The following is a 24,485-nucleotide window of genomic DNA, read 5'->3' on the forward strand; positions in this document are numbered from 1 at the left end:
CCTGGTTAGGGGTTTTCAACAAGCCCATGCAGACATTTGATTTGTGTCCCCTGCAATTGGGGTTCACTGTGAATTTGTGATTGTTTTCTGTTTGAGAAACCTGAAGAGCAAGAGATGGGCTGATAAGCTGCTCAAAGAAGAGGCTACAGTGGGCAGCCTGCACTCCCCGAACTTATGGGGGCAAAGAATGCATGTGTCCTGTATAATGGGTATAGACCAGGGTGTGAGAGCAATGGCATGGGGTCACGTCAGGGCTTGTCCAAGACAGTCACCTGCACAGGTAAACAGGCTTCAACAGAGAGGAGCTAGAAGTAGAGCAGCATTTGCAGGGAGCAAGGACAGAATATGAGAGGGCATCATCACCATCAAGGAAACAGGCAACAGCCCAGAGTATGAAGCCACTCACAACACCATCAGCATCATGTAAGCCTATTCCTGCCCCTCCTACAACTCCCTCCTCCAGCCCCTACAACCACCAACCCCAGCCCAGCTGCAATCTTGGAGAGCCAAGCAAACTTGGCCAGAAGCTCAGAATGGAGGAGGAAGCAGACTAGACTCCTGTGTTCAACTTCAGGCTTCTCCCAGGCACCAGGCCTGCACTAGGGATTTTGTGGAGGAGAGAATTCTTTATTTTAAATCAAGGTTGGTGGTTTGCCTCTTTTATCAGCAGACAACAAATATTATGTACTAAATTGAGAGTGTTTTGTGACTTAAGAATAACCAGAAAAGTTACAGGGTTGTCATGCTTTCATTCAAAAAGGTCATATAGACTGGGTGCAGTGGCTCACGCCTGTAATCCCAGCACTTTGGGAGGCTAAGGCAGGAGGAGCACTTGAAACTTGGAGTTTGAGACTAGCTTAGGCAATATAGTGAGACCTCGTCTCTACAAAAAAAAAAAAAAAAAAACTTTAAAAATTAGCTGATGTGGCGGCACATAACAGTGGGAGGATTGCTTGATCACAAGAAGTTGCTGCAGTGAACCAAGATCATGCCACTGCACTCCAGCCTGGGTGACAGTAAGACCCTGTGTCAGAAAAAATAAAGTCATATAAATGGAATTGAAATAAAAAGGAACAAACTGTTGACAAACACAACAATTTGGATTAATCTCCCAAGAATTATACTGCATGAAAAACAACCAATCCCAAAAGGTTACATACCACAGTATTCCATTTCTATAACGATCTTGAATTAGCAAAATTATGGAAATGTAGAACATGTTAGTGGTTGCCAAGGGTGAAGGAGGGGATCGGGTGGGAGGGAAATGGGTGTGGCCATAACAATGCAACAGTTGGAATCCTTGTGGTGATGGAAATTTCGAGGGCAATGTCCTGGTTGTTGTATTGTACCCACCTTACACACAAACTACACACACACAAGCACTGTTTGTTGCAAGATGCTACCACTGGGGGAAACTGGGTAAAGGATACAGGCATCTCTCTGTATTTATTATTCCTTATAACTGTATGTGAATCTACAATTATCTCAAAGTAAAAAGTTCAGTTTTTAAAAAGATGCTGAAGGTTTTGTGTGTACAAATGGAAGCAACAGTGACGACCAGCCTTTATTAAACTGATACACATTCTATCAGCGGAAGACCCTTTGACTTATTTGTAAAACCTACGGCATTTAGTTGTGCAAAAAGCATGGTTTTCAACCTAATTTTTGCAGGCTTCCTTGGCTGCAGTCAAAATATTCTATTGTTTTCAGCCCTTTTTCCACAACCCCACTCCTACTACTGAGCCTTCCAGATAGATGGGTAGAAGGGGTGGTCCCCTAACAGTTGACAGAAACTCAAGGATGCCATTCTGATCCTACACACCTAATAGCCATGTGTGTCAGCACAGGCAGCCAAATGTCATGTATAGCTCCCTGATGACAACACTGCCTCTCGGCCACTCTTCCATAGGAAGGGTCATGTCCCCAGGCTGCTTTTGGCCATACTTTTGACCTGTCTAAGACCCAAAGACTCCAAAAGCTATAAGGACATCCCCCACACATTATGCTGCCTGGTTTAAAATGCTGCCTGTCTTATGTCATAGGCTCATTCTTATTTAAATCAGGTGAAACCTTCTGCCCCTGTGGATTTCCTATCAAGAGACCTGTTGTCCCTCCGGATATCTGGCTTTTGTAAGCACCACTTTAGTTCACTGGGCATGGCCATGTGTGTTTGAATCCTGGCTATGGATGAAATTCATGTTTATTTTCACAAGGCCCCTAAGTCTCATGCAAATCAAAATAGTGATTAATTAATCATCCTATGTAACTGTCCCCAAGCACTTCATTCAATTAATCACTATGTATTGAGCACAAACTATGCACCAGGCACTGTTCTAAATATTGGGGACACAGCAGTGCATGAAATAAAGTCCCAGTTCTCAAGGTGCTGCATTCTAATGGAGCAAGGGAGAACACCACACAAACAAGATAATTTCTGGAGTTATAACTGCTACAGAGGAAATAAACAGAGTGATGTGATAGAAGTGATTGGGGAAGACCCGTTAGAGGTGACATTTGAGCTGCAATTTAAAGGATGGATACAAGCCAGCCATAAGACGCATCTAGGAAAGAACATTCTAAGGCAGAGAGAACAGCAAAGTCAATGGTCTTTGCAAGTATTAAGCTTGATGAGTTAAAGAAACATAAAAATAGTTTAGAGGCTGTTCAGGATCTCTCTGCTTTGCTCCTCTCCACCTTTCACCTCTTGCTCGGTGCCTTCTGCCTTTGCATTGTCTATTTAACTTGACAATGCCCACGTGATCTAGCCCAGACTCTTATCTCCATTTGGATGCCTGGGCTTTGTGCTAACAAAGCTCCCGCTCTGCCCTCCAAGCCCTGAGCTTGGATCAGCTGAGGACACTCATTTCACCCCCAAAGGAGAGTTCTGTTTTGACAATCCTGAGAGCTGGCCACTAGCCATCTAAACCAGAAAACATGGAGCAGCTCATTTTCCCAACCATACACCTGCCATATGTCCAGTATTTCATCCACACCCCATAATTGACTGTAGCAAGAGCTGTGTTTCCAGAACTCACCCTTAGCCCTCCCTGCCTGCTGACTTCCCCAGAAGCTCTTATAAACATTCAGGAAAACTGAAGCCGGTTTATGACCTAGAGGCTATTGAGTTCATCATCTTCTGGGGGGCTACATCGAACAGTGCCAATATTTCCCTTTTCTAACACAGCTAGATTTTTTTTCTTGCCACTAGGTTTTTATGTTAATTAACTATCAGAAACTATTTATATATAAAAAGCTATTGATTAAAAATAGATGTTTAGGCCGGGCATGGTGGCGTATGCCTGTAATCCCAGCTACTCAGGAGGCTGAGGCAGAAGAACTGCTCAAACCCAGGAGGCGGAGGTTGCAGTGAGCCGAGATCATGCCACTGCACTCCAGCCTAGGTGAAAGAGTGAGACCCTGTCTCAAAAACAAAAACAAAACAAAATTTAAAAAAAATAGATGTTTAAATAAGAGACAAAAAGAATCAGAGGCTGTGTGCTGATTTGGGACAGTTGCCCCAGTATTTCCTGGTCCAGTAAAATCTCCCCTGGACCTCTGCCTCTGCACATCCATGAACCTTTGCCAGTCCCACAGCTTCCAGCCTTCTTTACATCCCTGGGCTCTTGGAGCCTAAGCATGACTTTCTCCTCCCACCTTCTTCCACTGGCAGGCTTTATGATCCTCCTCAGTGTCTATGAGCATCTCTTCAGTTGCCAGGCCATCCCTAGCTCCTGCTCAATTCTCCAGGCTCTGGATTGCAGCTGCTGTTCTTCTGGGCATCTGATTTCCATTGCATCAGGCCCTGCAGGGCTGTGAGAATGTGCTATTAAATGAGTCACTAACCCCCTGAACTTGTTCATGCAAATGTAGGATATGAATCGTACATCTGACTTATCTGCCAACAGTACAAAAATACTATATGTTATCAGTCAGGATATTTGTGTGACAGAAACCCAACTCAAACAAGTTTAAGCAATAAAGGAGATTTTCTTTTTTTTTTTTTCTTTTTTTTGTTCATGTAATTGGAAAACACAAGGGGTAGAATTAGGCTCAGGCCCTCCAGGGATACAAACAATATCATCAGGATTCATTCTCTCCCCCTACTCCCTGTGTCTATATCTCACCCTCACCTCTGCTTCTCTCTCTATCCTCATTCTCTCCTAAGCAGATACTCCTGGCTTCTATAATCCCTGCTTATCAGCCCCTGTGGAAAAAGATGGCGCCTTTAGCAACATCTCTATATCAAGGACGTTGATTGATTTGATTGATCAAGCTTGGATCCTATGACCATTCCTGGTCTAATCCTCATGGACAAAGAAATAGGATACTGGGATCAGTAAAGCCTGAATCATGTGCTCACCCTTGTATCCCAGGGTGGGAGTGGGGCTATACAGAGTACTGTGAGGGGAAGTCATATTTTAAAAAACCACACAAAGTATAAAGTGGCAGATACTGTAGTCTGGTTCACTCAATATTCCCTCTGTAATCTTTCAACCACCTGCTACCTTCTGCTACAAAGGCTGGAAAGTTTAAAACACCACTTTCCAGACAGGCTTGCAGTGAGGGTGCAGGCTTATGATACAGGTTCTGCCCAACAGATGTTCCCAAGGAAAGTGGACGTGATTAATGTGGGGTAGGGGCTGGATGCAGAGCCATCAGATTCTCTCTGTAAGGTCAGGGAGATGATGGATGCCTCTGGTTCTTCTGGACCAGCTGTGTCCTAGGGTTATGTGACTACTTCCTCACGTAATAGTTGGTACATGGCAACAGCTTCATGGTTTCTGCTCGAACAGTGAAATCACTGTACGTATTTCTTGACTGCGTCCCTGGCTCTGTGGCATCTAAGCTTGGTTCCCAGACCCTCTCATAAATTCTAAAAGCAACATAATACTTTGTAATAAATTTCTTTCTTCATACACTGGCTAGTTTGATACAGAAGTAAAACTAATGCTTTGTCCTGCTGCATTATGCAAGTGGGTGCACATTACACCCTACAGCCAGAAGAAAAACAAAACACTTGCAGCCAGAACCCCTTCCCTCTCCCAAAACAAAGACATACATTTAAAAAGACTAAGGCCGTTCTATGTAGTTCTGGTTCTCAAAATAAATGAAAACTTGAGCCTTTTCTTTAAGCTACTGCTTTCCAATACAAACAACTTTGTTGTTTCACAAAGTTATTTCTCTTTTAATGCTGATATCTGAAGGGATGATACAATCTTTGAGGTTATAACACTCATGAAATAACTAGCTTTTTTTCACAACCAACATAATAACTGTAAATTTGGTAATCTTGAGGTTTTCTTTTAATTACCTGTTGTATATTTCATTTGGCAAGCTAGTCCTTTTAAAGCCCGAACTCCCTTGCAATCCATTTTCACAAGGAAACATTTTTCTTTAAATGCTTTCATAGCTGTGTCTTCTTTTGACAGGAGGATCTGTTGTCTGCAACTAAGAACGCTGATGAATACAGGAAGGGAATATCACCAGTGGAAGTGCACGTGTTGTGGGAGAGCAATATTGCTAGGAGGAAGGGATGTGCTGAGAAAATAAGAACAGAAAATGCTCCCTACATTGTTTCACAAGGTTATTATGATGACTGAAAGAAATAATGTGGTATATGTTGTAAACTATAAATGTGTAAATGTAAGGCTAATGCAATACTCTTGGTTGGGAGTTACCACATTGGAGATAAGTCAAAGGTACCTAATTACACAGAAAGCATCGGTATCAATTGGTAAAAACTTCAGCCGGGCATGGTGGCTCATGCCTGTAATCCCAGCACTTTGGGAGGCCAAGGCTGGTGGATCACCTGAAGTCAGTAGTTTAAGACCAGCCTGACCAACATGGTAAAACCCCATCTCTACTAAAAATACAAAATTAGCTGGGCCTGGTGGGGCTGAGGCAGGAGAATCACTTGAACCTTGGAGGGGGAGGTTGCAGTGAGCTGAGATCACGCCACTCTACTCCAGCCTGGGCAACAAGAGCAAACCGCATCTCAAAAAGAAAAAAAAAAATACCAACTTCATGATCACAGGCAAGCAACAGGCAGAAACAACAGGACAAAGACAGGAAGAAGTTTATACTGTACACCAAATTCAGCACCGTGACTAGCTCTGGAATAGACAAGATAGAAAAGGTTGAGGAGAGGAATAGGGGAGATTCAACTGTACCTGCAACATTTTATTTTTATAAAACAGCCAGGCTCAGTGGCTCACACCTGTAATCCCAGCACTTTGGGAGGCCAAGGCAGACGGATCACCTAAGGTCAGTAGTTCGGGACCAGCCTGGCCAACATGGTGAAACCCCATCTCTACTAAAAATACAAAAATTAGCCAGGCGTGGTGGCATGCACCTGTAATACCAGCTACTCAGGAGACTGAGGCAGGAGAATCATTTGAATCCAGGAGGCAGAGGTTGCAGTTAGTCAAGGTTGTACCACTGCACTCCAGTCTGAGCAAGAGTGAGACTCTGTATCAAAAAAATAAAATAAATAAAATAAAATAAAATAAAATAATATATGAAAGAAACATGACAAAATGTTAACATTTGTTATTTCTGAGTGGTAGATTTATAATAATTTGTTAATTTTTTTCTGTATTTTTTAAACTCTGCAAAAGAAAAAAAGTGAGTAAACCAGAGAGTCTGGACAGGTTTCATGCTTTGCCCCTAACTCTGTAATTTTGTCCCTAAGGAGGAACTTTAATCAGAAAAAAATATAAAAAGCAAAAAATAAATAAACAATTCCAAAACTGATAATAAACCATTGTTACAAACTTATTTAGTGCCAGCATACCTAAACACTTGTGGCTTAATCTGAAAGTTTTTCAGTATCTCATTTATGGTGAAGCAAGTTTTCAGTACAGGCCAGAAACAACTGTTTCGTATATGATTCTTCCGAATGAAATGTGGCCACTGATCAAAATATCGCTCAAGTCAGTTTGAAGGCATTTCTCTGGAAATTGCTTGCAAATGCAAAAACAAAAGAAAACAATAGTAACAACAACAAATTTCCTCCTTGAGCAGGGGCATTCAAAAGTTTTCAGTAAGAGAAGCCATGAAGAAATGTCTCCATATGTGCTGCAGTGGGAGGATGCTTTCTATAAAAACTGATACAGTGATAACTGAGAGGGTTCAGGGCTACATGCTTAGCTTATTGAGTTTTGGTCATGCCTTACAGTATGTTAAGGGAGGTTTTATTTATACTTAGTTTCCTTTTGTCAATAATCCCTAGCTTCATGATACAATTTTAGTAGAATCAAACTTAAAAGATCCATCCAACCCATTTCTCTCTCTTACCTCTCAAATATATGAAATGTTCAAATCATCCTTTATGCTTAAGATATCTTCTTTTAAAAAAAAGTACCTTCAAAGATCACTATTTTAAAATACTTTAATACACTAACATCTGTTAACATCTGCATTTAACATGATTTATTTAGCCACCATGAAGGAATGGAATACAGATACTGCTAACTTTGGAAGAGAGGGGACAAGTCAGCAACTCAGAAGAAGGTCATTGGGCATCCAAAATGAACAAGAAAACGAGGTTTATGAGAAGACATGCAATAAAAACTGAAAATGAGAGTTGATTTTTTTAAGATAAAGTTTTCTTATTTTTTAGTTTTGCCTAGGGTAAATCCTTACTACAAAATTTTGCCTAGAGCCACTCCTACCTTCCAGGCTAGGCAAAAATGCCTCTGTTTTTGCGCTATATGACTAACAACAATCTTCCACCCAGCTAATGTGGAAACTCTCTGACAATAAAACTTTTCATGGCTAGGTGAAGTGGCTCACACCTGTAATCCCAGCACTTTGGGAGGCTGAGGTGGGTGGATCACTTGAGCCCAGGAATTCCAGACCAGCCTGAGGACCATGGTGAAACCCCATCTCTACCAAGAAAAAAAAAAAATTATCCAGGTGTGGTGGCATGCGCCTGTAGTCCCAGCTACTTGGAGGCCGAGGTAGAAGGATCACCTGAGCCTGAGAGGTTGAGGCTGCAACGAGCTGTGATCGCACCACTTCACTCCAGCCTGGGTGACAGAGTGAGACCCTGTCTCAAAAAAAAAAAAAAACGAAAAGAAAAGGAAAAAACAACCTTTCACAACAGTTCCCAGTCACTACAGAATCTAAATGGCTTATTTAGATTTAGATTAAGTGACATATGCAGAAATTGTTTGGCAAACTCTAGGGACAAGAGACTTTGAGACTTGGACATCCCACAGGAAAACATAGCTATGTTTCTTTGTTCCCATTTTGAGACAAATTTCCTCCTAGTCTACAAAATGTCACCAAATAAAACAAAAGTATATTCATTACAGAACCAGGGATATTTGGAGCTGTCTGGCAGTTCCTAAAAAGAAGAGTTACCATATGATATAGCAATTTCACTCCTAGGTATATACTCAAGAGAACTGAAAACACATGTCCACATAAAAACTTGTACGTAAATATTCAGAGCAGCATTATTCATAATTGCCAAAAAGTAGAAACAACCCAAATGTCTATCAAACGAATGGATAAACAAAATGTAATATATCCATACAATGAAATATGATTCAGCAATAAAAAATAAAGTGCTAATATATGCTAAAACATGGATGAATCCTGAAAATATTATGCTAAGTGAAAAAAGCCAGTCACAAAAGACCACATATTGTGTGACAGATCTATGGAACAGGTAAATTTATAGAAACAGAAAGTAGGGCCAGGCCTGGAGGCTAACACCTATAATCCCAGCACTTCGGGAAGCTGAGGTTGACGGATTGCTTGAGTCCAGGAGTTTGAGACCAGCCTGGGCAATGTGGCAAAACTCCATCTCTACAAAAAGTACAAAAATTAGATGGGCATGGTGGCACACACTTGTAGTCCCATCTATTCAGAGGGCTGAGGCTGCAGAATCACTTGAGCCCGGGAAGTGGAGGTTGCAGTGAACTGAGATCGCACCACTGTACTCCAGCCTGGGAGACAGAATAAGACCCTGTCTCAAAAAAAAAAAAGAAAAAAGAAAGAAAGAAGGAAAGAAACTAAATGAGTGGTGATTGCCTAGGGCTCAAGGTATTGAGGGGAAAAAGGCAGTGCTACTACCGAAGGATACATGGTTTCTTTAGGTTACATGGTTTCTTTATGGGATGATAAAAACCTTCTGGAATTCAGTAGTAGTAGTGGTTGCACTACTTTGTGAATATGCTAAAAAACCATCGAGTTGGCCGGGCGCGGTGGCTCACGCCTGTAATCCCAGCACTTTGGGAGGCCAAGGCAGGCAGATCACAAGGTCAGGAGATCAAGACCATCCTGGCTAACACGGTGAAACCCTGTCTCTACTAAAAATACAAAACATTAGCCGGGCATGGTGGTGGGTGCCTGTAGTCCCAGCTGCTCGGGAGGCTGAGGCAGGAGAATGGCGTGAACCTGGGAGGCGGACCTCGCAGTGAGCTGAGATAGCGCCACCGCACTCCAGCCTGGACAACAGAGTGAGACTCAGTCTCAAAAAACAAACAAACAAACAAACAAAAAACACCACTGAGTTGTACTCTTTAATTGGATGGATTCTATATTGTATGAATTTTATCTCAATAAAGCTTTTTTTAAATTTTCACCAGAGAATTTAATTTCCAGGAAGAATTCTATCATATAGACATCATATAGAAATAAAAGACAATGTGAGGCAATTTGATTCAATATATTAAGCTAGTAACTATTGATCCTACCACCTCCTGCCTCCTTAGGCATCAATTCAGGATATCTTATTCTTTTTTTTTTTTTTTTTTTTTTGAGAAGGAGTCTCACTCTGTCACCCAGGCTGGAGTACAGTGGCACGATCTCTGCTCACTGCAACCTCTGCCTCCTGGGTTCAAGCCATTCTCCTGCTTCAGCCTCCTGAATAGCTGAGATTATAGGCGCCTACCACCATGCCCGGCTAATTTTTGTATTTTTTACTAGAGACAGGGTTTCACCATGTTGGCCAGGCTGGTCTCGAACACCTCAAGTGATCTGCCCGCCTTGGCCTCCCAAAGTGCTGGGATTACAGGCATGAGCCACCACACCTGGCCCAGGATACCTTATTCTTAACGTAGTCTGCTAGGTTTTTAGGCATACAAAAGACAGAAACTCCATGTAGAAGTAAGGCTGTTGATATTATATTATTATTGGCTGTAAGTATTGTTAACTAAAAATGATCCTGAGTAATTACAAATTATAAGTGCAAACTAGTATTATAGTATTAACACATCTTCTATCAAACATTTAACTAAGGAACTCCAAGAATAATCCAGCTATTCTCTGGTTAATTTCAAATAATATCAAAAGCACAAGTATACTTCTCTATCAAACAAGTACCATGAACCTTGCTGGTACCCCATATGATTTTGCTCAAAGACTATAAGCAAGCATGAGCAAAACTAGTGTCTATCCAACAGATCTGCTGAACAGATTTAACAAGTCGATTTCCCACCTTTCCCTTCAAATGAATACTTCAATAACCACCTCATGGAATCAAGCCACAGGCAAGTTGGATCTTTACTTGGGGTCATCAATTTCACATGCTCACTACAGACCATTCATAAGTGTATTAGTCTGCTCCAGCTGCTATAACAAAATACCAAAAGCTGGGTGGCTTTAAAAATAGACATTTCTTTCAGTTCTAGAGGTTAGGAAGTCTGAGATCAGAGTGCTAACGTGGTTGGGTTCTGGGGAGGGCCTTCTTCCTGGTTTGCAAACAGCTGCCTTCTGCTATATCCTCACATGGTGCAAAGAAAGAGAGGGCAAGCTCTCTAGTTCCTTCTTATAATGTTACTAATTCCATCTTGAGAACTCTATCCTCATGACCTCATCTAAACCTAATTATTTCCCAAAGGTACTACCTCCTAATAACATGACATTGGGGATTAGGGCTTCAACATATGAATTTGAGGGGGAATATAAACATTCAGTCTATAAAGGAAAGGGAATATAGCTTAAGAATAAGAACCATACATTTTGCGGTCTAGCCAGACAAAGGAAAGCTGATTTCTCTATTTAAAAAATGTTAAAAATCAGCTGAGCGCAGTGGCTCACTCCTGTAATCCCAGAACTTTGGCAGGGTGAGGCGGATGGATCATCTGAGGTCAGGAGTTCAAGACCATCCTGGCCAACTTGGTGAAACCCCGTCTCTACTAAAAATACAAAAAAAAATTAGCTGGGCGTGGTGGCAGGCACCTGTAATCCCAGCTACTTGGGAGGCTGAGGCAGGGGGAATTGCTTGAACCCAGGAGGCAGAGGTTGCAGTGAGCCAAGATTGTGCCACTGCACGCCAGCCTGAGCGACAGAGTGAGACGCCATCTCAAAACAAAAAGAATTAAAAAATAAATTGCAATGTAGGATACATACTTGTGGGTTATTGCCCACCATGTTAATTTTCTTTAAATAAAAGCAAATTCATTTATAAAAATCTCTTATACCTCTGATGATGATTGCCACAGATGACAGGCAACCTGTGTAGGAGGAGCTCAGAGGTAATAGGCTAGATCATAGCCACCTACCTTTTTCAAGTCAAAGCACCAGAGAGGAGCCCAGTTCTCTTGGTACTTAGACTGTGAATCTAAGGAGAAGGGGAAAAAGAGAAATATTAACTCTGAGGAGTTCAATCCACCATTTCCAGTTCAATTGGAAATGGTGATTCCAGATCTTTTGGAGTCTTTGATTTCACACTCTTGACTACTAAAAGTGATTGGTGCCATTGAAGAGGAATCTAAATTATTTTACTCTATTTCAGTATCTACAACATACCTAAAGATATGCCAAGATGTTGTATAAAGAAGGCTGAGAAACACTGGTTTACGCAAACCCCCAAAATACATATTATTTGAATAATATTATGTACAAGCCTTGTGTTCATTTTCAACACAGCAAATAATGTTCCTTCTGGTTGGAATATTACAGTTATTCCAAGTTCTTAGGGATTTTTCCTAATACAAGACACTAAAACAGTTTTCAAAAAGAGGTACAAGACACCAGTAGTACAAATGAATTATTTTCACATAATAATGGTCCTCTGGAAATCCCAATAAAAAAGAAGTCTATTTAGAGAATATAAGAAGTATATTTAAATTTGTTTCAAGAGAAAAAAATAAAGAAAAACGAATTTGTCTATGTTTGGGGGCAGAAGAAATAAGAAAAGTAAGTTACTTAATCAGTTATTTTTTCCAGGTACTATTCCATCCTCCCACAATTTACTTTTCAATCATACAGATTCCTTTTCTTTTATTCCTAATCTATGATTTTTCTCTATTTGGAGGCTTTATGAAATGTGCTTCCCAAGTTTTCTTGCCTTGCTTCTGACTGCACATGGCTTTGAAACTTAAGCTCTGAGCCTCAACAGACATTATCAGAATTCTAATGTACACAGATGTGTTTGAATGGGACAAGTCCTTAGAAAACAATGAATCAAGAATACCAGTACGTAGGCAGGGCATCATGGCTCATGCCTGTGATCTCAGCACTTCGGGAGGCTGCGGTGGGTTGATCACCTGAGGTCAGGAGTTGGAGACCAGCCTGACCAACATGGTGAAACCCCATCTCTACTAAAAATGCAAAAACTTAGCCAGGCGTGGTGGCGGGCACCTGTAATCCCAGCTACTTGGGAGGCTGAGGCAGGAGAATCACTTGAAGCCGGGAGGCAGAGGTTGCAGTGAGCTGAGCTGAGATCCTGCCATTGCACTCCAGCCTGGGCAACAAGAGCGAAACTCCGTCTCAAAAAAAAAATAAAAATAAGTAACAGGTATACAGGGCAATGTTGTGATTGAACTTTTTTTTTTTTTTTTGGAGACTCCACTCTGTTGCCCAGGCTGGAGTGCAGCAGTGAAATCCCAGCTCACTGCAACCTAAGTCTCCCGGGTTCTAGCGATTCTCCTGCCTCAGCCTCCCGAGTGGCTGGGATTACACGTGCATGCCACCACATGCAGCTAATTTTTGTATTTTTAGTACAGTCGGGATTTCATCATGTTGGCCAGGCTGGTCTCAAACTCCTGATCTCAAGCGATCTGCCCACCTCGGCCTCCCAAAGTGTTGGGATTACAGGTGTGAGCCACCACGCCAAGCCCAGCTGAACTTTTAAGGAAACCAGACATACTGTCCATATTTATGGGTTTTTTTCTGCATATAAAAAGGAGCAAATTGAATTCTCTTTTAGGAGGGTCCATGTAACGTGGAAGGGGTAATAGAAGACTCCCAGCCGGGCATAGTGGCTCAGCCTGTAATCCCAGCACTTTGGGAGGCCAAGGCAGGTGCATCATGAGGTCAAGAGTTCGAGACCAGCTTGGCCAACATGGTGAAACCCCGTCTCTACTAAAAATACAAAAATTAGCCAGGCGTGGTGGTGGGTGCCTGTAATCCCAGCTACTCAGGGGGCTGAGGCAGGAGAATCACTTGAACCCAGGAGGCAGAGGTTGCAGTGAGCGGAGATCATGCCATTGCACTCCAGCCTGGGCAACAAGAGTGAAACTCTGTCTAAAAAAAAAAAAAAAAAAAAGACTCCTTAGCTCATCAGGCACCATAGATCAAGAGGAAATCAGTTTGTCCTTTGGAGACATCTACTAAAGAAGGTTTTGCATGTCACTCACAAGTGCTATGTGGAGAAAAGCTGAAATAAGGACAGATTTATCTAGAAATTCCTGAATCCAATGCAAGCTACAAAAATGGAAAGGACATGGATAACAGAAGTAACATTCATTAAATGTTTACGATTTGCTATGTCTTTTACATACATGTCCTGTCTTCTACTTCAATAGTACTCAAATTTTTAGACTCAAACCATGAGAAAATTTCTCAGAATTTCTCCTCCCAACACCACCTTTCTTCAGAGTTAAAGTTATCCGTGGGGGAGGGAAAAATATATATACATGTATGTATGAATGTATGTATATATATGTATATTGGGGGAAAACCTGCAGAAATAAAAATACAGTCACTTCTACTACCTCTCCAATAACCCACACTTTAAGTGTGACAATACTCAGAATTTAACTCCCAATAACCTACAATGCATCATGAATACCTAAAGTATTTTGAACATAGGCTTTTGCTTTGCTAATGTGCATTTAACATCCCAGTCATAAAAACACATCTTAAAACACACACACACACACACACCCCTAGATATAGCAATAGTAGTATCTACTCCTGAAAATATCCTCGTAACAAAAAAATCGAAGAGAAATACTATGATAGAGTAAAATGGAATGATGACAATTAGAGAAAGTATGAAGGGAAATTCCAAACATCTGAAATTCTTCTAAAAATAGTCTATTAAATGTCAGTTATCTTGGTTTCCATAGAAATTCACAAGTGTCTACAAAAAGTAACCTATTCCTACTTTGAAACTTTACGACTGTTCTTGCCAATAACACCACATCCTTATAAACGCCATATCGGGGACACAGGAAAGGAAGCCACATATATCCAAGTGGTATGCAGTATGTTCAACAGACCTTAATAGAAATGAATATTGCTTGTATCATTTAACGTTTGAAGAGGAGCGATAAAGACTATTATCATTTAAGAGTAGTGAGAAGTACAGGTAATTCTCACACTAGTAGGCTAATATTTTACTAGCCACTCATTTTAATTCGTTGATCTTTTCTTCCCTGAACAAGTATACCTAAATCTGGGATGTGTGTGTGTGTGTTTTATCCTACCTTTATTCTGTACCTTAAACAACACATAGATGGGGAAGTAGAGTGGGTTTGGTTTTGTTTTTTTTAAATAATCGACAGGCGACATACAGTTTAACTTCACAGGGTTGTTTACCAGCAGGTTGGTGTTCCGAAGAAGCACGCAGTAAAACACGCACAAAATAAGGGTCTATCAAAATAATTGTATATATTATTATTTCGAGATATATATGGAAAGATGGGATCGCAAAACATCTTTAACAGAATGGGTAACATTCCGTTCAATTATCAGTAACAAATTCCCACAGAATCTTTATTCCTCGCTATTTGTAAACAAGAGCTGAAGCCAGCCGGGCACCCAGGAGCATTCCGCCGGGGCCATCTGAGGAGGGGGACTCCCGCCTGGATCCCGCTCCATCCTCGGGCCACGAGAAAGCCCTATTTGAACTCTTCTGCTCCCGCGTGGGGGCTGGAGTCCACCGTCCCTGCTTAACTACACTGCAGCTACCCGGGATCCTTAAGCTTCCTTCAACTCTCTGCACTTTGCCAGGCACCCGAAACCCACGGCGGCTGGGCGGCCCTGCTCCCGGCTCTCCGAGCCTGTACCCTCGGGGAGGCCCGGTCCGGAGGCGCCCCGCGGGAGGCTTACCGAGCAGCGAGCCTATGAAGATGACGACCTGCACGGTGGTGGTGAACTGGCGGTACAGCTGCGCCTCGCCGAACTCCCCGAGCGCGCTGCGGTTCACACCCGCAGCCTCGGCGCCGGACGCGTTGTGCGGCTCGCTGGCATTTGGAGAGATCCAGCTCCCGTTATGTCCCATGGCGAGGCTGGGACTCCGGCTCCGCGCGCCGCCCGCCTCGGAGCCCCGCGCGGAGCCTCTCCTCCTCCGGGTGAGGAGGGACGCGCGGGCGCCTGGCGGAGTCCTGGAGAAGCCGGAGCAGCCGACGGGTCCCCTCACGTCTCCACATCGCCAACCCCGGCGCCCGGGAGGCGGGGAGGGAGGGAGGCGCGGCTGCGCCCCATGCCCACTCCCTCCTGGATCCCAGTCAGCAGCCACAAGAAGGCGGCACGGTCAGAGCCCGCCGAGCGTCGTCCGTCCCTCCTCCAGGGTGGTCAGCGTGGCCCAGCCCACTCGACAGGAATGGAAACACAGAAGGAGGCATTCGATGGTCAAGGAGGGCGCTCTCCGCTCCCGCTGCCTCCTTCAACCGCGGGTCCTCCGCCCCTCGAGGGCTAGGGCATCCCTCTCCAGTCCCCTCGGGCTGACGCACTCGACCCCTCTCCTTAGCGGGAGGAGAACGTTTGGCCGAAGCTATTTTTCAGTCCTGTTGGCTTCGAGGCTGGATGGCGATGTGAAGCCAACGTAATGCCCACGCCGAGTGGCCGGAGCCACGAGGGGACCCCCGAGTGCCCGACAGCGCCCATGGCTTGGGTGGAAAGCCCTGAGCGTCCCCAGCAGCCTGGCCCTGCGCCCGGCCGCCTGCCAAGACGCCCGTGCTGGGTCCTGCTTCCCAGCCCCTCACTTGTGGCTCCGACCTCCTGCCTCAGCACTGGCGACGGGGACCCCGTTCCGCAGCGCCTTTTTGCCTCTGCATGGCTGGGCGCCCCCTTTCTTAGCCCCCCTCGGTCCCTCGGCCGCTAGAACACAGCTTGACAGCCGGGCGGGGACGAAGGAGGACGCCCCCAGTGGGGCAGTGGCACCGTCTGCGCGGCCGCCAGACTCGGTGCGCGCCTGGGGCAGCCGGGGGCGCGCGGCTGGCGAGGATGGTCACGTGGCACGCGCGACCCCGCCCCTCGCGCCCAGGCTGCCGCGGGGAGGGCGCCATCTTGGCCCCGCGGAGCGTGACTGTCTCGGCTGGAAGCGTGGGAGGCCGGAGGATCAGTGACTGGCTGTCGTGGACATGCTCGCTACACCTCCCGGGGCTTCGCTTCGTTTACTATTAACTGTCGTTACTCCTCTGTATCTCGTCAGCAGGGGCTGCCTGCGGTGTTAGAATTACACGCCCCTGCCACCTGGGCACGGAGCCCAGTCTCCCGGCCCCTCAGTCAGTCCTTGGGTGTAGCTGGAGCATTTAAGAAAAATGAAATATAGGAACTCAGTGCATGGTTTCCTGGGCCTTTTTATTGAATATCATTTCTAACATGTACACAGTATAACCCAGGCTTAGTGGATTCCGGGACAGAAAATGTTGGGAGCTGGGATAGTCAAGTAAACAAGAAGAAATGGTAAAGAGATGCCAAGTGGGAGAGGAAACTACGGATGCAGAGAGAGGATCTGGGATAAAGAGAACAAAGATGCGTGGTCGACTTTATGGAAACTCGTTTCTTTTTAATAAGTGAGGTACATGGTAGAAGACTTTGACATGTTGATTATGTGACTGGGACCAAGGACAACAACTCGAGAATTGATTAAAACTACAGTTATTCCTTGGTTGCCCCAAGGATGATCCTGGTACAATATGGCTATTTCCTTTTCACTGGTAATCCTTATTTACTCTTGAAAGGGTAAAAATCCGTGTCTTGTACATATTTGGAGTTTCACAATACCTTCACATAGTAATCTATGTGAGAATTATTTTAAACATTTTGGAGACCAAAAAGGGGAAAGAGAAAGAGACGGAAAATTACTAATTACACTAATTGTATTTTACCCCCAAGAACGCCATTACCAGCGGTTAACATTAGTTCCAGGAGTCCAAACATAGTTTTCAAGATAAAACCCCTTACACTATAATCATTAGAAACCAAAAATTATAATAATTCACCAACATCCAGCATACTCATTTAGGAAGGGTTGAAGAATCTGTGTAAATAGAGTTGTTTGATAACAGTTATAAAAATATCCCTTTACCCATCTTCACCCTCCATCCCGAATTCAAAACTAGTAACAGTTGGGATAAAGGTATAGAAAAGAATCAGTTTTGCAAGTGTAGAGAATGGAGAAAGCAAGAAACCGCTCTCATGTTTTCATTCTGAAAAGATATCACTAAATTCTCTACAACCCCTCAATTGGTGTTAGGGTATATGGTCAGTAGAATCAAGAAATAACCCAATCAGCTGAGATCACCATGATTCTCAGACTTGAGGAAGGATTGCCTCTCAAAAATGAAGGGCTAAAGACAGGAATAGAGTGGCACAATTCTTAATAGTTGTGTGCTGTATGAGTTTTTTTTAAGGATGAGTCAAAAGATCTTAAGATTTGTGATGTAAAAGATTGGACACGATTTAAATATGTATTAAATGTCTGTAGTAGTGTTTTTTATAATTGTCTGGTCATCTACCAGTGCACAACAAACCATAACAAATTTCGTGGCTTAGAGCATAACTCCAGAAGTGTAGCTCAGCGTTGCTGCCTGGGTCTGGGATCTGAAGGCTTGTTCACTCTATGTCTGGCAGTTGATGTTGGCTGTTGACTGGGAACTCAGCTGGAACATCTATATGTGGCCTCTCCATGTGGCTGTTTGGCTTCCCCACAGCCTGGCAGCTATGCTCCAAAAGTGAGCATCCCAAGAGAGACAAGAGTCCCAAGAGGACAAGGCAGAAGCTGCACTGACGTTTTTTTTTCTCTCTTTCTTTTTAGGTTAGCCAAGTGAAGCAGTGGGAGTGGAGAAGGAACAAAGAAATCTGTAAAGTAGTTGTGATCAATTAGTTGTAAACACCACTGCACTCAGACTCAGACCAGCTTGCATTGATTTTTATGACCTAATCTCAGAGGTTGTACAGCGTCACTTCCACTGTACTCTACTTGTTGAAGCAGCTACAAAAACACCACATTTAAGTAAAGGGGACACTAATTGGGAGGAGTGTTAGTCACATTATAAGAAGAGCATGTGGAATGAGAGATTAAGTAGAGATATTATTGCAGTCATTTAAGGAAAATATAATCTCCCATAATATTAATATCTGTTTTCCTTTTGTAAAAAAAAAATGTACCATTTCAGGCTGAGCATGTTGGCTCATGCCTGTAATCATAACATTTTGGGAGGCTGAGGCCAGTGGATCACCTGAGGTCAGGAATTCGAGACCAGCCTGGCCAACATGGCGAAACCTCGTCTCTGTTAAAAATACAAAAATTAGCCGGGTGTGGTGGCAGTCACCTATAATCCCAGCTACTCGGAAGGCTGAGGCAGGAGAATCGCTTGAACCCAGGGGCGGAGGTTGCAGGGAGCTGGTACCACCACTGCACTCCAGCCTGGATGACAGAGTGAAACTCTGTCTCAAAAAAACAAAACAAAACAAAAACTAAAATGTACCATTTCAGATTTTTTTTCTGAAATTAAACCTGAAAAGGTCAAAAAACACATAAATTACAGTCCCTTTCAATTACTTACCAGGTACAGGTATTGTTTAAGTCTATAGAAGTTCAGACTATAGTAGTTCAAAATACCTTATACAGGGCAGCTTATAAAAAGCAGAAGTTTATTTCTCATAGTTCTGAAGACTGGGAAGTCCGGGTTCAAGGTTCTGGCAGATTCAGTGCCTGTCGAGGGACTGCTTTTTGGTTCACAGATAGTGTCTTCTAGCTGTCTCCTCATGTGGTAGAAGGGTGCCTTTTTTATTAGTACCCCTAGTTTTATTTATTTTATTTTATTTTTTAGAGACAGGGGTTTTACTATGTTGCCCAGGCTAGCCTCAAACTCCTGGGCTTGAGCGATCCTCCCACCTCAGCCTCCCAAGTAGTTGGGACTACAGGCACATGTTAAAACACCTGGTTCCTATTAGTGGTTATTTTATAAAGGCACTAATCTCATCTGTGGCACCAGAGCCCTCATGACCTAATTACCTCCCAAAGATCCCATCCCCTAATACCATCATATTGGTGATGAGGTTTCAATACATGAATTTGGGGGGCTGGGGACACAAACATTCAGACCACAGTAGTTGTTACATTGATATGAGCTGGTAAGTGTTAACACCTGGCAGCAATCAGATACCCAGCCATAGGTGAAGGCAGGTGATTAGAATTACCAGCCAACACATTTATGTGCTAGCTAATTTTTATTCAAAACTTTCTGAAGCTACATTCAAAGCAGTTAATGGGAAATGGAGTAAAAAAATAGGCAACCTCTCACTCTAGATAATGCTGTTAAAAGTAATTTTTCCTCCCAGTCCTCTCCTGTAATGAATAGTATAAGAAGGTATCCTCCCAACGTAGAGGCACCTTGTGTTTCCAAAGTTTTAATTAGTTGTCATGATAATTTTATGTGTCAACTTGACTGGGTTAAGGGATGCCCAAATAGGTAGTAAAACATTATTTCTGGGTGTATCTGTGAAGGTGTTTCTGGATAAAATTAACATTTGAATGGGTAGACTGAGTAGAGCAGACTGTCCTCCCCCATGTGGGTGGCCCTTATCCAAATGGTTGAAGGCTAAAATAGAACAAAAAAGCTGAGTAGAGGGGATTCCCTCTGCCTGACTACCTTCGAACTGGGGCGGTGGCTGTTTCCTGCCTTTGGACTTGAACTGAAACATCAGCTCTTCCTGAGTCTTGAGCCTCCTGGCTTTTGAACTGAAACAACAGTAATGGCTCTCCTGGTTCTCAGGCATTTGGACTTTGACTAGAACTACACCATCAGTTCTCCTGGGTCTCCAGCTTGCCAATCTCCAGTTTGCCAACTGCGGATCTTGGGACTTGTCAGCCTCCATAACTCCATGAACCAATTTTTTGTAATAAATCTCTTTCTATATGTCTATTTATTCTGTTGGTTCTGTTTCTCTGGAGAACCCTAATGCCATACATAATTTTTAAAAAAAAAAAAACTCTTTCCTTCTCTGTTTTTCTCTTATACTTTTGTGAGTGTAGTGATAGGCCAAATCACATAAGTGCTAATAAATACTTTTCCAACAAGTACTTAACCTTGTTTAGGTGATAATCACTTGTCTTACCTTTGTGTTCAGAAGAATTCCCAATTCCAACTTTCTTAGGTATTTATTGAAAAGCAGGAGGAGGGTTCGGTGGAGGGAAGAAGAGATGGAATAGGATTTAGGATCATTGCAAAGACCGAGGTAGTTGGGGAACATAAAGGTTTTATGTTGCCTTTCTTCTTCCTCCTTATCATTGAAGGTCTCCTCCTCCCTCCTGCTCCCCATCACACACCCTCACATGCCCCCATGTGGCCTCTTACTAAACAGGGAGAGAAGAGAAGAGCTGGAGAAATGGAAGTATTTTGTATTGGTAAGCCCAAGCAGCAGCATGCTGAGAAAAGAGGAGTTTTTATGGCCCCTGGCTACCCATCTGGAATAAACAGTTCTATTTCCAAATGGCTATTTCTATGCCAATGTAAAAAGACATAGATAATGCAGATTATTGTGTAGACATTACTAATATTCAACAATATCTCGTTTTCCTCTTCTTCCAGGCATACTGAAGACTATATTTCTCAGCTGCCTTTGCAGGTGGGCAGGGTCATGTGACTATTATGACTAATAAAATGTGAGCAAAAGTGACGAGTCACTTGTGGGCTGAGGCAGTGAAAAGTTGTTTGTGATTCTCAAATCTCTCTTCTGTTCTGCCATTGCAATTGTGGAAGGAGCTTTATGTTGAAACGGAAGAGCCAAAAGATTGAAGTAGTCTATGTCTCAGTCACCATATGGGAGGGCAAATGCCCTGGAGAACCACCCAGACACACAACAAGTTTGTATGAATAAGAAATAAAACTTTGTTGTATAAGTAATCATGATTTTTGGAGTTGCTTATTATCACAGCATAACCCAGCCTATCCTGGCAGACATTGTTATGAAAATTGGGGCCTGCATATTTAAGAGAGCACAGATTGTATTTCTGGGGAATGGAAGGTTTTAAGTCAGGACTTTAAAAATATTCTGTGTTTATTAGTAGTGGCAAAAAGGATATCCTAGGTCCTTGTAAAATGAAAGATGGTAGCTGATAATGGAGCCTCTGGGCATCTTTGAATTAAACTATTGGGCTTTTCAAGTCAAAAAAAGCATATTGGTCTCTGATAAACTTATGTTGTTGAAACAGCTTTTTGGAGAGTACTTAAGCTTGGGGTAGGCAATAACCCATTTCTCTTTTCTTGGAGACCTAGATTGTCTCTTTATACAGATTTCTACTAACGCTCTCAAGATAAAGAACCTAATATGGAGAGATAAGGGAGTATGAATGTTGATGTCAGTTGTACCTCTTGAATATTTTGTTGTTGTTGTTGTTGTTGTTATTGGTTTTAATGGTTAAAATATCTTTTCTCACGATGAGGAAGAAAATAGAGAAGACAAAACAATGTAGCAGCATTCACGGTAAGAGGCCAAGGATAACAACCAGAAAGAGAAAAGAGAGAAAGAGGAAGAGAGATGGAGAGAGAGAGAAGCTGATGTTGAAATTAAACAAAATTCTGAAAGGGGCATTTTTTAAAAATGAGAGAGAAGCGGGCTGAACAATAGAGAAGCCCTTTCCTGCTGAGGGGCCGGAGCCAGGGGCTCCTAGGTGTAGTGTGGGTGCACCAGGCCCTGACATGGCCACTGGGTAGAGGACAGCACCTGAAATGGGGGCAGGTGGCGGGGCCGGGGCCCTGGGCCTTGGGCTCCATGCTCCAGAGCCCCAGGCTGTGGCTGACATCCTTTGAGTCTGGCACCAGGGCCTAGTTGAGGGTCCCCAGCAGTTCTTGGAGCTACAGAGGCAGGGGATCTTGATGTCTTCGATGGGGTAACTTACAGTCACAGGTAGTCTCCTTGTTGGTGCTGATGAGCTGCTTCAAGTAGATGACTATCTTCTCGAAGATAGAACCATTTAAGATAGAACCATTCCAATCGTGTTCAAGTAACACTGGGCAGTTACTTGACCTCTCTAAACTCAGTTTTCTCCTCTACCAGAAATAAAGATGGCTATTTTGCAAGGCTGTTTTGAGGACAACAAAATATTGAATCAATAAAAACCTCTGACAGTGAGACATTATAGGCCATCAATAAAGGGCAACTATATAAGATCAATTCCTGTTTGTTGATGTTTAAAGAAATCAAATATCAAAAAGGGGAAAAGTCACCATCTAAGATTTTAAAAAATTCTTGCTATAGATTTAAATAAAATACAAGCTTTATATTTCAAAAATGAAAAAAAATCACTTTTTTGGAATTAACAAAGGACACAGTGGCTTTGGGGGAATTTTGACTTGAAGATTTAGAAGTCCAGAATTTAGCCTTTACATCATTGGCCTAAATATGTTTAGTTTTTATGGTTCTTAGTTTTGGGCATGTTAAATTACCATCCAAAGCAATTATCTGTTTAAAAGATAATAAGACAGCCCTTCATGTATTCCAAATTATCGCAATATGTGGATTGGGAAACGGTTTTCTACTTACATGAATCTATGAATATATCTCCTAATGCAGTTTCCCAGGAAAATGGCATTAGAAGGTATATCAGGAGTTTCTAGTAGTCCTTATACCTACAGACTTCCTGTTAAATTCATCAAGAATATCTGGGAAGGGGGAACTTGAATATTCCTTCCCTCCCTCTCCAGGAAGCCTCAATAGTCACATACACACAGACACACACACATAGTGATCATAAAGCAAACAGACTAATTTTTACCTTTATTTTATTTCATTTTATCTGAGACAGAGTCTTGCTCTGTTACTCAGGCTGGAGTGCAGTGGTGCAATCACAGCTCACTGCAGCCTCGACCTCCTGGGCTTAAGTGATCCTCCCACTTCAACCTCCCAAGTAGCTGGGACTACAGGTGCATGCCACCATGCCTGGCTAATTTTTATATTTTTTGTAGAGACAAGTTTTTGCCATGCTGCCCAGGCTGGTCTGGAACTCCTGGGCTCAAGCAACCCACTTACCTTGGCCTCCCAGAGTGCTGGGACTATAGGTGTGAGAAACTGTGCCTGGCCCAGACTAATTTTTTTAAGACAGAGTCTTGCTCTGTTGCCCAGGCTGGAGTACGGTGGTACAATCTCGACTCACTGCAAGTTCCACCTCCCAGGTTCACGCCATTCTCCCACCTCAGCCTCCCAAGTAGCTGGGACTACAGGGGCCCGCCACCATGCCTGGCTAAGTTTTTGTTTTTGTATTTTTAGTAGAGACAGGGTTTCTATTAGCCATGATGGTCTCGATCTCCTGACTTCGTGATCTGCCCACCTCAGACTCCCAAAGTGCTGGGATTACAGGCATGAGCCACCACACCCAGCCAGCCCAGACTAATTTTTAATAGCAAATATGTCAAACTAAAATATCCATGAGTATTATCACCTTCAAAGGAGTCACCTTGGGAAGGTATTTAGCTGCTGAAGATTATCATGATTTCTCAGCACCTTTTTAGGACTTCTCTTTTATAATTAATTTTGGAAGCTGACACATTTTTTCCTGTATCACTTATTATAATAAATATGTCCTTTAAGAATAAATTGGATTTATTTTAAAGAGCCAAATGTTATCTAAGACAAATTCTGGTGAATTAAGTGATTAAGGTAGTAATATTCTTTAGTAAAAGATGGAATATGGATATAAAATACTATGACTCATAGTCTGACTTTGAAGTAATGACACGGCTGTGGAATAAAGGTATATACTTATTCCAAAATTTAAAGGGCAAGACTCATTCGGGTACATAAATATGTAAATGCACACAAACACCCACAAAGTAATGCAAAAGTCACTAACAATTTTTATTTCAGACTTTCTTGAGCAGCAGGAACAGTGTTGCCGCTCTGCTCCTGGCTGCTAAGTCACAGTATGCTGCAAGAACAAGTGCCTTCACCTCCCGGAAGAGGAGACGGGTTGGCTGGAAAAGTATTCAAAGAAGTAATGGCTGGAAACTTCCTATATTTGGCAAAAATCATAAGCCTAGAGATTCAAGAAGTGAAGCAAATTCTAAACAGAA

General features: G+C 42.8%; 1 protein-coding gene and 1 long non-coding RNA gene across 5 annotated transcripts in view, besides 4 other annotated features; one reads left to right on the forward strand and one right to left on the reverse strand.

Moving 5' to 3' along the window:
* Positions 1-15,706, reverse strand: part of GPR176 (G protein-coupled receptor 176) — a 121,259-nt gene extending 105,553 nt beyond the window's left edge. For all 3 annotated transcript variants that reach the window (XM_017021878.3, NM_007223.3, NM_001271854.2), the window contains exon 1: positions 15,295-15,706. Coding sequence is in view for 2 of the 3 variants with exons in the window: in NM_007223.3 (NP_009154.1) it covers positions 15,295-15,466 (172 nt within the window). In the remaining variant the exon portion in view is untranslated. The remainder of the gene's footprint in view (positions 1-15,294) is intronic.
* Positions 3,915-4,415: an enhancer, noted in NCBI's record as "H3K4me1 hESC enhancer chr15:40200676-40201176 (GRCh37/hg19 assembly coordinates)". NCBI's record gives its function as "activates a minimal SCP1, AML or CMV promoter by ChIP-STARR-seq in primed H9 embryonic stem cells {active_cell/tissue: H9 hESC(primed)}" and the evidence as "EXISTENCE:reporter gene assay evidence [ECO:0000049][PMID:30033119]".
* Positions 13,041-13,147: a silencer, noted in NCBI's record as "fragment chr15:40209802-40209908 (GRCh37/hg19 assembly coordinates)". NCBI's record gives its function as "represses an EF-1alpha promoter that drives an FKBP-Casp9 reporter gene in an ReSE screen in K562 erythroleukemia cells {active_cell/tissue: K562}" and the evidence as "EXISTENCE:reporter gene assay evidence [ECO:0000049][PMID:32094911]".
* Positions 14,745-15,550: an enhancer, noted in NCBI's record as "H3K4me1 hESC enhancer chr15:40211506-40212311 (GRCh37/hg19 assembly coordinates)". NCBI's record gives its function as "activates a minimal SCP1, AML or CMV promoter by ChIP-STARR-seq in primed H9 embryonic stem cells {active_cell/tissue: H9 hESC(primed)}" and the evidence as "EXISTENCE:reporter gene assay evidence [ECO:0000049][PMID:30033119]".
* Positions 16,161-16,560: a silencer, noted in NCBI's record as "silent region_6313". NCBI's record gives its function as "represses an Ori minimal core promoter by ATAC-STARR-seq in GM12878 lymphoblastoid cells {active_cell/tissue: GM12878}" and the evidence as "EXISTENCE:reporter gene assay evidence [ECO:0000049][PMID:35858748]".
* On the forward strand, positions 16,464-20,339 carry GPR176-DT (GPR176 divergent transcript). 2 transcript variants are annotated; one of them, NR_184051.1, is made up of 2 exons: positions 16,464-17,126; positions 18,227-20,339. It is a non-coding gene; the product is annotated as a GPR176 divergent transcript (long non-coding RNA). The 2 variants fall into 2 exon arrangements; NR_184052.1 differs by having other exon boundaries at positions 16,464-17,098.
* Positions 20,340-24,485: the final 4,146 nt, after the last annotated feature.

The sequence above is a fragment of the Homo sapiens genome, chromosome 15, assembly GCF_000001405.40.
Source record: "Homo sapiens chromosome 15, GRCh38.p14 Primary Assembly".
NCBI lineage: Eukaryota > Metazoa > Chordata > Mammalia > Primates > Hominidae > Homo > Homo sapiens.